The sequence below is a fragment of the Homo sapiens genome, chromosome 16, assembly GCF_000001405.40.
Source record: "Homo sapiens chromosome 16, GRCh38.p14 Primary Assembly".
Lineage (NCBI taxonomy): Eukaryota > Metazoa > Chordata > Mammalia > Primates > Hominidae > Homo > Homo sapiens.
The window spans coordinates 85,880,381-85,893,146 of NC_000016.10; the positions used below are offsets into that span (position 1 = coordinate 85,880,381).

A 12,766-nucleotide genomic window follows, 5' to 3' on the forward strand; every position below is an offset into this window, starting at 1 on the left:
AGATCAGAGAAAGTGATGAGTCAATGCTAACACCTCTGGTTCTTTTTGAGTTTCTGAGGTTGAATGCAGTGACAATTTTGTGGCAAGATGATCTTAAATGTTTTGGAAGCAAAAGCATTTTTTGTTGAAAGAAGGCTGGTTGTCACTATGTATATATATTTGGTGATGAGGATGGGACCCCGTAGGGGTAGGAGAGCACCAACCTGGAGCAGGTGGTGCAGGCCCCCTCCAGGCCCATCTGGAATTTGAGCAGATCCTGTGTTAAAGGACCACCTAGGCCCCTTGAGGAGTCTGGCACCATTGTGCCCATCCCCTGAAATGAGCATGGTGTGGTGTTGTTACTCCTTTTACAGAAACTTAAGTAGAAGACGCTTAAGAGCCAAGTTTTGTATTCCTTCCTATTAAAAATCATTGGTTGAGGCTTATGTTTCACATTAATTGAAACCCTGTTATTCACATGGCACTGAAGCTGGGAATTGTGTTCTAGTTTGAACTTTCTAGAAAGAAACCTTAGGACACTGCTGTCTCTGGAGCAGATGCACAAATGACTGAGTGACAGATGGCCACTCCTCAGCCAGTGGCTGTTTGTAAGGAATTCTAGTGCATGGAAAGTGCTAAATTAGCAGCGCTCTTGGGGGTATCCCCTGTTACCAAACAGAGAAAAACTCCAAGAGAATCTCCACTAAGAGTCACAGAAGTTCCTCCTAGTTCTTCACTGGGGGCCTAAGGGCTCCACTGAGAAGTGTATTTCAACACGATTTGAGGCAGGTGAATCCAGGAGTTCGAGACCAGCCTGGGCACCATGGTGAAAACCCCATCCCTACAAAAAAGTACCAAAATTAGCCCAGCATGGTGGCACATGCCTGTAATCCCAGCTACTCCAGAGGCTGAGGTGGGAGGATCAGTTGAGCCCAGGAGGTGAGGTCTGCAGTGAGCCGAGATCACGACATTGCACTCCAGCCTGGGTAACAAAGAGTGACACCCCGTCTCAAAAAAAAAAACCAAAAAACAAAAAACCAACCATAAAAGAACCCCCTTCCCCACCCAAATTCCCATTATCCTTGACAAGGGTCCATCAGGCCTCAGCAGTTTGCCAAAGGAGTCTGTATTAGTTGCCTTGTCTGCTGTAAAAATGACCATAAACTGAGAGGTGAGGGGTTGGGGTGGGGTTTTAAGCAACAGACATTCTTTCTCTCCCAGTTCTAGAGGTCAGAATGCTCGAACCAAGCATCTGCAGGGCTGAGTCCTCCTGCATGCCCTGAAGGAGAATCCATTCCCTGTCTGTCTCCCAGCTTCTGGAAGGTGCTGGTAACCCTAGCTGTTCCTTGGCTCAGGGTGGCATCACTCCAGTCTTTGCCTCTGTCTTTGTACGGTGTCCTCTGTGTGTCCATGTCTTCTCCTCTCAGAAGGACGCCAGTCATTATTAGATTTAGGGCCCACCCTAAATTCAGGATGATCTTATCTCAAGATTCTTAACTTAATTACATCTGCCAAGACTCTTTTCCAAATAAGGTCTCATTCACAGGTTCTGGAATTTAGGATGTGGACATAACTTTTGGTTGGAGGCAGGGGCGGGGGGTCACCATTCAACCCACTACAGAGTCCATGACACAAAAAAGGTTCTGAAGCTCCATGATCTTGCCAGGGCCTTCCTGATCTTTCCTATCAAACTCCACATTTTCAAGAATTTTGCTCCTGTAACTTGCTTCTATTTCTGACTCCATAACCAGGTGAAGTGTGTGCCTTGTAAATGGAAAATTATGATGCATTTTTTTCTGTTTAAACAGCTTCTAAACAGGATTCAACTGTGGTGAAGGCTGACAAGTGCATCTTTCAGTCTCAAAAATGGTCTGATCAGGAACCCACGGAATGGGGGATGATTGACAATCTCTCTCATGGACCTTCTGCAGCCTGACACTTACATAATGCTTTCCTGGCAGGTGGAAAATCCCACAGTGCTTAGGCTAATGCTTCTCAGCTTTGGGCTCTATTTTCTGTAGGTCAGTCTCAAGGCTGACACCCACTCCCCCACCCCCGGCCCCTGCCACTTCTCCAGAAACATTTGAAGCCATTGGGGGGTCAGGGCTGACTGAGAGCTCTGCTGTGTAGAAACCACTTTCACCCACATGACTTAATGTGGCCAGGAGGCTTGTTTCTCCCCGGCTTACAGCCAATTTCTCTGGCTCTTCAAGTCTCAACTTAAATGTCACCTCCAAGCCGCCTGACCACCCTGTCTGCCCTGAGGTCCTTGCATTTTCTCTTCTCTTTCCTTCTTTGTCTCTTTTTGATGTCTGCATAGTGAGGGAACATCAATCTCTTTGATGACATAATTTTTAAATTTCCTCAAGTCAAAACCAGAATAGAGAAGTGGGAGACCTTGGGAGATAACCATGTTTCAATAGCTTAGGAAACATGTAGAGCAAAATCTTGGTGATTTTAGTTTTAATGTTCAATTACAATTTCTCTGAAATAGCACAATGGCCAAAAATAGACCATTATGCTGCGTTTAAACAGCTTTTGTTCCTCAACCTGTTGATAACATCTGATGCTTGTTTGTCGTCATTTCTTATGATGGAGGTAGAATTCACACCCTCTAAAATCGCCCAATTTAAGGGGTAAAATTCAGGGGACGTTGGCATATCTACAAGGTTGACCCAAGTCATATTTGGAAGGCTTGGCAACTGCCAAGGCACAGATTTACTTTTTTCCTTACTTGGAGTATGTGTAGTGTTTACTATAGTAAACAGTGTTGAAATCATATTTGAAAAATAGAGAATGTAAAACACGAATGCTTTCTGCACAGAGTTCCGTGCAGTGCAGAGACACATGGAGGGGTGAGAAGCTGGATGGGTGTCTGCCAAGCTGGAGAGAGGAGCAGCTAGGAAGAGGGCTGCCCTGTGGAAACCCCCAGGTTAGTGGCGAAAATGAGACACAGCCACGGAAAACTTTCCTGAATTCCACGGAGAGCCGGGGAGGAAGACACCGAAAGAAGTTCCCTGGTCCATGATGCTGCTGAGGGACGCGTCCCCCATGTCCTCTCCTTATTCTCCTGAGGGAGCCTCTGTGTCCCCTCCTTTTTCTCCTGAGAGACGCCTCCCCTGTGTCCTCTCCTTATTCTCCTGAGGGAGCCTCTGTGTCCTCTCCTTATTCTCCTGAGGGAGCCTCTGTGTCCCCTCCTTATTCTCCTGAAAGACGCCTCTCCTGTGTCCTCTCCTTATTCTCCTGAGGAAGCCTCCCCTGTGTCCTCTCCTTATTCTCCTGAGGGAGCCTCTGTGTCCTCTCCTTATTCTCCTGAGGGAGCCTCTGTGTCCTCTCCTTATTCTCCTGAAAGACGCCTCTCCTGTGTCCTCTCCTTATTCTCCTGAGGAAGCCTCCCTGTGTCCTCCTTATTCTCCTGAAAGACACCTCCCCTCAAGTCCTCATTATTCTCCTGAGGGACGCCTCCTCTGTGTCCTCCCAGATGCCCCTGAGGGACGCTTCTTGGTGTTTCTCAGTGCTCAGCAGCCAGCGGTGCCTGGCCTGTCCCACTCACGGTCCCTGTTCTAGCACAGAGTCCTTCTGGGCTGGGCTCCCAGTACCCTGTGTGCTCCTTCCTCCTCTAATGATGGCTGCGGCGGGCTGTGCCTCCCGCTGTCCCCTGGGTATGCTCGTGGTCCAGGATCACACCGCTCCTTGTGTGCACTGCAGAGTCCAAGAACACACGCGGAGACCACTGCTCCTCTGGCGTTCCTGGCACTATGTTTTTTCCTGCTTGGGTCCGTTCCTCCACACCTGTGGAAAACCTGTTGTACCTGCTGCTTCCCCCACAAAGCCGTTTCTGGTTGTTCCTGTGTAGGGTGAATTGGATGTGGTGGGATAAGCCCCACTCACTTCACACCAGCACTCTGGGTTTTCGCCTGCTCCTCCTCTCAGTCCTGGGGCGACTGTTTTCACCTCTCTGCATCCCAGTTGCTGCACATCTGCATCCCCAGGCTGAGGCTAGCCTGCTGCCCACGAGGCTGTGGAGAAGCCCCAGCAAACAGCCCAGGGGAAAGAGCCTCGTGGATTTTATTTGATTTATCTTTCCCTGTGAATTCCCACAGTGCCTGCCCGGTTTGGATCCTCTCAACCACATGGATTGTTTGCTTTGAATTGTAGTGATTTGTGCACCTGTCAAAACTTCCCCACCAGGGAGGCCACTGGCTTCTTCATAGCTCCTGAGCACCTAGCACACCCTGTGCACGTTCGTTTTCTTTTTTCTTTCTGAAATGGAGTCTTGCTCTGTTGCCCAGGCTGGAGTGCGGTGTTGAGATCTTGGCTCACTGCAACCTCTGCCTCCCAGGTTCAAGTGATTGTCCTGTCTCAGCCTCCCCACTAGCTGGGATTACAGGTCTCAGCCTCCCCAGTAGCTGGGATTACAGGTGCACTTTGCCATGCCCGGGTAATTTTTATATTTTTGATAGAGATAGGGTTTCACTATGTCGGCCAGGCTGGTCTTGAGCTCACGACCTCAGGTGATCCACCCGCCTGGGCCTCCCAAAATGCTGGGATTACAGGCGTGAGCCACCTTGCCCGGCCATTTTCTGAACAGCCATGTCAACAGGTTAGTCCTGCTTCAAGGACCAAGTAGAACTTCTTCCATGTCCTGGATTTGCCCCTTGGCAGTGTCTCGTCCTTGTGTCCCAATGTGAGTGCTACGTAAATGGCTTCTTCTCACTGTGTGCATTGACTCTTGCCTGGGACTCTCCTTTCCTACCCACCCCCCATCTCTGGATTCAGCCTTCAGCTGACTTTCTGCTATTAGTTTACCCTGTTCTGGTTTCTGGCTCTCACCTCCAGACATGCTTCCTCTTGCAAGTTCATCATGGGTTTCCTCCGCTAAGGTGCCCTGGCTCTGGGCTTCTGCATTCCCCAGGTCTGAATTTGGAATTCCTGGCTTCCACCTTGCAGCAGCCTCCCCCTACCCCATCCATTCTTGGCCCTGGGCCTGTACAGCCAGGCTCTGGCTGGGTGATCTTTCCGGATACCGCTTTGAAGAGTTTACCTGCCGATCTCCAAGTTTATCACGAGTGTATTCCCATGAACATTTCGAGGTAGCACTAGGTATCAATGCTTTTTGTCAAAAGTCATTAGATTTTGAAGCATACAGAAGAGAATAATACAGTGAATGTTCCCCTCCAGTTTTGTCAGTCTTTACATTATGTGATATTCACTTCATATTGCTTTTGTTATATACAATAAAGCAGACACGGCTGGGACTCTGTTGGCCACGTCTCATGGGGATGTCATTTACTTCCTCCTCCTCAGAGGTAACAACTACCTTGAAATTAGTCTCTATCATCCTCATACACATTTTTATTTTATGTCTACTGACGTCATTTCATAAACACATTACTCTGTGGTGTGTGTTTCTGGCTTCATATAAACGCCATGATATTGCATGCAGTTATTCTGTAACTTGTGTTTTTTTTTGTTCAAAATTGTATTTTCTAGGTTTATCATTTGAACTATGATGTTGTATCTATTGTATTCAAATGCCACAGGTTATCCACGACCTCTTGATGTGCGTCTATGTTGCTTCCAAATTTTGTGCCATAACAGATGGTGCCCACGTACATATTTTTTTCTGTGTCTTATTGATCACAGGTATGATCGAGGGTCTTTGCCTCAAATTGGAATTCTTGACGCATAGAGCATGACATCTTTTTTTTTTTTTTTAGACAGTTTTGCTCTGTCGCCCAGGCTGGAGTGCAGTGGCGCAATCTTGGCTCACTGCAGCCTCTGCCTCCAGGGTTCAAGCAATTCTCCTGTCTCAGCCTCCCAAGTAGCTGGGATTATAGGTGTGCGCCGCCATACTCGGCTAATTTTTGTATTTTTTAGTAGAGATAGGGTTTCGCTATGTTGGTCAGGCTGGCCTTGAACTCCTGACCTCAAGTGATCCACCTGCCTTGGCCTCCCAAAGTGCTGGGATTATAAGTGTGAGCCACTACGCCCTGCCAAGCATGACATCTTTACCGTTGGAGACAATGCCAGAATTTTCCACGTGGTTCTGTCAGCTTCACCCACTGATATGTGCCAGAGTGAATACGATGCTCCCAATTTCTCTACTTTCTCAGCCTTGCTAGGTGTTGGTAGACTTTGAGAGTCTTGCTGATATAAGGAGTATGAGAGTCTAGGTCATTGTTTGAGTTGCATTTTCCTTACCGCTATCATAGTTGAGCATCTTTCTGTGTGCTAATTGGCTTTTTGGATTTTTTTTAATTTTCTATGAATTATCCAGTTAGATAAAATATTTAAAAACAGCTTTATTGAGAGATAATTCACATACCACACAATTCATCCATTTTAAGTGTCCAACTCCATAGCTTTTAGTACACTCACAAAACTGTGTAACCATCACCACCATCGAGCTTAGAACATCTTCTCACCCCAAAAACAAGCCCCATATGCATTTGCAGTCACTCCTCATTTTCTTTCAAACTCCCTAGCCCTAGCTAATCACTGATGTACTTTCCGTCTATTGTATGAGGGGAAATAGGTATTGGGGAATTGGGTGATTGTTGAGGCGTGTTTTGCCCAATAGTCAGCCTCCCAGTAACCTGAAAGAAAGCTCCTCCACCTCTCTGCGTGTCTCTTTCCAATGTAGCAACCTTGGGCACCGGGCAAAGCCTTGTCCTAAACCTCGGCCCCTCCCACCAAACCATGACCAACTTGTGGTCTCTGGGGACGCTGGACAATGGACTGCCCCCTACGGGGACACCTCCCCCGTTCAGGTGCAGCTCATAATGAAGCCCCCTAACTAAGACAGGAGGAAATTTCTTCACTGCTGGCGCTGATCAAGGAAGACTGAGGGTGCCCGGGATTCTTTGCCCCACATCTAGTGAGTCCACTGAACCCAGGGTAATTGGGACAGCATCCGGTAAAATTTTTTTCTTTCTTTTGAATAATGGGGCATGCCTATCGGTATTAACTGAATATAAAGGCCCATTAGAATGATTATCGGTTTCTGTTGTTGGCATGAAGGGCATACAAGAAACCCCATACAAAACACCACCTGTATACTGCTCATTTCAGGGAGTTACCCACACTCACTCTTTCTTGGTCATTCCTCACTGTCCCACTCCTTTATTAGGAAGGGACATTCTACACAAACTAGGAGGAATCATTCATTTATCAGCCCTACATCAAAGCATCCCTTACTTATTGTTATGTCAAGAACAAAACCCTTCCTCAGACACTCAACATCAAACAGACTTAAATCCCAAATTCCTCAGCCAAGTAAACCCCATAATATAAAGCACTGACTTCCCCGTAATAGCTATCTACCATTCTCCAATACAAATTTCACTGAAGGGATCCTAAGCACTATATAGTGGTCCTAAAATGTCCCCTCAATCCTCATGGATTATGGGGACTCAAGCCCATCATCTCCTGACTTTTGGCTGCCAATATTTTAATCCCCTCCCACTCTCCCCACAATACTCCTATTCTCCCAATCAAAAAACCTGGTGGCTCCTACGGAGCAGTTCAGGATTTGTGACAAATCAACTCCACTCTTGTTACTGTTTGTCCCCTTGTCCCAAACCCCTACACCCTCTTATCGAGAATTCCTCCCAACACCAGCCATTTCTCTGTGTTAGACCATGCATTCTTCTTTATGTAATACAGATTCAAGACACTTGAAGATAAATTTACTTTCACGCCACTGCAGGAAAAGAGAGAAGGGTCTTGTCATGGATAAGTACTCAGTGATAAATTGACATATCATGTCAGTCATTTGAGGAAATTTATGTGTCAAAACAGTAAATAACCCAATCCAAGCAACAAATAAGGAAATAAAAGCATGAGAATAATTTTTAGGGAAAAGAAATCTGACATTCATAGTTCAGAAAGATAACCATGCCTAGTCCAGTCAATGTGGGGGAGTTTCAGCAGTGATATCTGGCACTCACTGTCTCTCCAGAACAACTACATACTGGGATGAAACAAACAGGCTTCCATCACCACTGTGTAACCATTTACTTAAATCTAAAAAGGAGTCCCTGGAAATTATTCCATAAAGGGATAGTTCCAAACTCCTTGAGGTTCCAAGAGGAACCCAAGAAATGGAGCCAAGTGACAAAACAGATTTGTTTTTTTTTTTGGAAACAGGGTCTTGCTTTGTCACCCAGGCTAGAGTGCAGTGATTGTGGTCACAGCTCACTGCAGTTTGAACTCCTGGGCTCAAGACATCCTCTTGTCTCAGCCTCCTGAGTAGCTGGGACTATAGGCATGCACTACAATACCCAGCTAATTTTTAAATTTTTAGCAGAGATGAGGTCTTGCTATGTTGCCCAGGCTGGTCTTTATCTCCTGGGTTCAGGGGATCCTCTCACCTCAACCTCCCAAAGTATTGGGATTATAGGCATGGGCCACCATACCCAGCCAGGAAAGAGAATTAATGCACCTCCTGAGGCTTCACGTGGACCTACCTGAACCTAATTTTTATACACGTTCCATGAGCAGCCCATGAGGCAGATGTTGTTTGCACTTTCATCTGGCTTGGCTTGAAAGTGATGATGCATTTATTTGCATGAGTGGGTGACAGGGGCTAAAAAATGAGATCAGAACCAGAAGAAGGCTGTCAGGAAGGAAATGACTAACTCGACAAGAAATTTCAGCCATTTGTGTCCTGTCCCCAGCAACTCCCCCACTAAGTTCCCAGTAGGTTCATTTTCAGTTTGTAGAACAACTCTGCCTGGAAGATTATGTACAATCATAGGCTTTTAGGTCTGGATGAAACCTGAGTGCCTCACTTGTGCAACCATTTCATTTCATAGAAAAGGAAACAGAGGTGTGAATTAGACACCCCTGCTCTGGACTGCGCCTCCACTCCCTGAGCAAAGCAATGCAGAGCAGTGGAAAGAGTCTTGGGTTTGAAGGCAAGAGGCTCCAGCCCCCCGAGCCTCAGTTTCCCCATCTGTCAAGTGAGGATAACCACGCCTGCCCTGCTCTACTGGGCAGGGCAAAGGAGATGATTTAAGAGCAAGTATTTTGTAAAAGAGAAAGCAAGCTGCAACTTTAAGTTGCTACTCCTAGTGCCCCTCAAAGCTGCCTAGCAAATTGATTCTTCTCCGTAGTTTCCTGCATTGAGTTCTAGAACTCAGTGCTGGGAGTCAAAGGGTCCCTGTTGACTCCTGGGCCTGGGGAACCCACTCTGCCTCGGAACCCTTCCTTGCATCCTTCCTTTGTAGGCAATCATTTGGTGCATCCCAGCCAACCATGCACTTACAGAGAAAGAAACAGCCAAAAGAAATAGAGAGAAGGGAATTACGACCTGGGGTGCATTTGACTGCTTCAGTTCCGAAAATACTTACTAAAGACCTATTAGGTGGCAATGAAGTTGACCTCAAATCACAGAACCTTAAAATTGGAAGGGACTTGGAGATTATGGATTAAGTAGTACACGCTCCTGAAATCACACAGCAACACTGCAATCACCTCTAACAGGCGGTCTAGCATGTGTTCCCTTCATGCTTCCAGGGACAGGTGGCTCCCACGTCACCAGGGACCTCATTCCACTTGTAGAAAGATTGTTAAAGCACAGCCCATTATTAAGTGGACTGAGGTAAGCATGGGGGCAAATTCTGCCCACTGACACACAACTACCATATGCCACCAAAGTCCGAAATGAAGCCTGCTTACAAATGAAGACAATTACAAAATCATCCGTCTTGTCTCTAAGTGCCAGGGTAAAAATGGACTTCTAGGATTGCATTTAAAAATATCTCTAACCACGCTCAAAGTTTGTGATTCTCCTTAGAGGTAAATTATTGTTGTTGTATTGATATTTTATTGTGCTTCTGCCATTTGTTTCTCACAGATGCACCTGCTGCACATCTGCAAAGGTAAGCTGGAGATGAACATGGGTGAGCGTTCTGGATTATTTGGCACTGCTTGCTAAGCACATAGATTCATGATGCACTGAGTCAGAATCCCTGGAGGCTCCTCCTGGGAACCTACATCTTGATAAGTGTCCCACTGTTGCTTATTTATGCTAAAATTTAAAAACACTCATCTATATAATATACAATAATATATATTTTGTAATTGTTGACTTTGTAATTGTCTTCATTTGTAAGCAGGCTTGGAGTCCCATAGGTGAACCCACCTCCCAGGTTTCAGCAATTCTCATGCCTCAACCTCCTGAGCAGCTGGGATTACAGGTGCCTACCACCAAGCCCAGCTAATTTTTGTATTTTTAGTAGAGACAGGGTTTCACCATGTTGGCCAGGCTGGTCTCGAACTCCTGACCTCAAGTGATCCACTGCCTCAGCCTCCCAAAGTGCTGGGATTACAGGCGTGAGTCACCATGCCTGGCCCAGAATTTATATTTTTCACAAACCAGTATTTCCTGGCAATAGCCCTAAATGTTCAGGATATTTTTGATCTATGCTTAAGAAACCTTTTACTCTTAAGTTTTTTTTTCCTCCCCTGGGACTGTTTCAAGTTCTTCCGTTAGTAATAAATGTGAATAAAAATTTATACCTGAAAGGCAAAACGTTATTGAATGCTTAATGAAATTTTTTCCTTTACATTAAATGTTTACATACTTTGCCACTCCTCGAAGGAGGGTTATGAATTAAATACCTAATACATTACAGCTGCTTAATAAACAGCCAATAAATGAACGCCAATGCATTTAAAAGTAATGAGTTTTAGGATATAAAAAATAGAAATCTCAGGTTTTTATTTGTAATCCTTCTAGAGTAAAGAAACAGATTGCGGCAATATTAGCAATTCGTAAATCACCATCCAAACCCACCATGAACAGATAGAGCAAACTGACTCAGTGAAAGAGAAATGACTGGAAGCAAAATGGGGTCAAAGTTCATGTCTTTAGGGCAGATACATTTTACCCAGTAATATTTCTCTTCCCAAGTCCCCTGAGTCGGTCCCAACTTACTGCCTTTTAGAGATCTCACTTTTATTGTAAGATAGCTTCTTACACGAAAACATTTACCACTTGTGCACGTATATATATATATATCTATACATATGCACACACATCCTTTGTATTCAACTGCCTGATAAACTGTAGTCATTTGTTCTGTGTTGTGGAGACTGATAAGTGAATCTTTTCCTTATCTGCCAGGGTAAACTGCCAACTTTCAAATACTCTTTGGTTTTCCCAGGTGAGTCATGCACCTTCCAGTGTCTGTAGCCCCAGGGCTGCTCATGCATGTGACTGGGTCTTAGTTTTTTGACCTAGAGAAGGCATACCAAAGTCTGCTTGAGCCAACATCTTTGCCAGGTGCCCTCATTGTGTTTATTTTTGTCATATAAACCTTAAGTGGATGGCAGGATTATGTTTCCACATGTGCACACCTGTTTACAGACCACCCACATCAGGTAGGGCAATCCCTCTGAGGGGCCGCAGCAGATTGTGAGGGGCTTCCTGTTTTCATTCCAACCTTCCTCTGAAACACTGGTGTGTAGTGGCAACGTTGTTCTTAAGCTTGAGCCCCCCGACCAAGTGAAGCATGAGAAAATGCAGCTTACCTTAGTCACAGGCAGCTAAGCACAGGTAGTTAATGGCAGGTAAATTAGCCACAGGCACCTTTGGAACCAGCAGCAGGTGCGGCAGACCGGACCCTCCTCGGAACGAGGAGCATGTGCAGAAGAGTTCGCACGGCAGGCTGGGAGTGCTGCCTCCAGGAAGGCCTGTTCTGGGGTTGAACCTTAGCTGTTGTCCGGGAACTTGGATTTCAGGGGGGTTCCTGCCACCCTAACGGATAAAAGTGCCTCACTGTGTCCAAACTATTTGTGCAAACAGTGTGGTTTATGCTGAACACCTGCTTTCCTTCTGGGATCTGGAGTTTTTTGGAACACGCCAGGCAGAAGGTGCCTATGTGGCCAGCACCCCCCATAAAAACCCAGGGCTCTGAGTCTCTAGTGAGCTTCTCTGGTTGACAGCATCTCAAATGTATTGTCGCAACTTGTTGATGGAGGAATTACGTGCGTTGTCTGGGATTCCACTGGAGAGGACTCTGGAAGCTTGGGCCTGGTTTCCTCCAGACCTCACCCCGTGTATCTTTTCCTTGTGCTGATTTCGCTCTGCATCTTTTTGCTGCAATCAACGGTAGCTGTGAGCGCAACTATATGGCAAGTCCTGCGGGCCCTCCTCCCGCGGAATCACTGAGCCTGGGGAGTTATTGGGGCCTCAACTCAGACAGGTATAAAAATTAATACACCTCCTAGAGCACAGAGATGAGCAATGTTCTTCCAGCTTTCTTTCCTTTTGCCCTCCCTGAGATTTTTTTTTTTTTTGCAATGAGCTTATACCTTGTCTATTTAAGGCATTTTTAATTTAGTGTTGGGATAAGTAGGGGCACTGAAATAGCATAAGATTTTCCCCCTTACCTCAAGAATAATTCAGCAAAATAATTCATAATATAGAGCAGGTACCAAATTATGTTATAAAGATTTCAGTATAGCTGGAGTCCAGTGTTTTTAAAATGTGGGTCAGTGAAGGCTGGAGTAGGAAGGAGGACAAGATTTAAGGTGGATCTTAAGGATGATGCGGTAGGCAGATTAATGGCCCGCAGAGAGGTCCAAGTCACAGCCCATGAAACCTGGGATTGTGTTAGGCTACATGGCAAAGGGAAATTCATGTTGTAGATGGAATGAAGGTTGCTAATCAGCTGACCTTACAATAGGGAGATGATCCAGGTGGACTCAATATAATTACACGGTCCTTAAACGTGGAAAAGGGTAGTGCACCTGCAGTCCCAGCTACTCAGGAGGC

General features: G+C 45.9%; 1 annotated feature.

The window, feature by feature from the left end:
- Positions 3,130-3,630: an enhancer, noted in NCBI's record as "H3K4me1 hESC enhancer chr16:85917116-85917616 (GRCh37/hg19 assembly coordinates)". NCBI's record gives its function as "activates a minimal SCP1, AML or CMV promoter by ChIP-STARR-seq in primed H9 embryonic stem cells {active_cell/tissue: H9 hESC(primed)}" and the evidence as "EXISTENCE:reporter gene assay evidence [ECO:0000049][PMID:30033119]".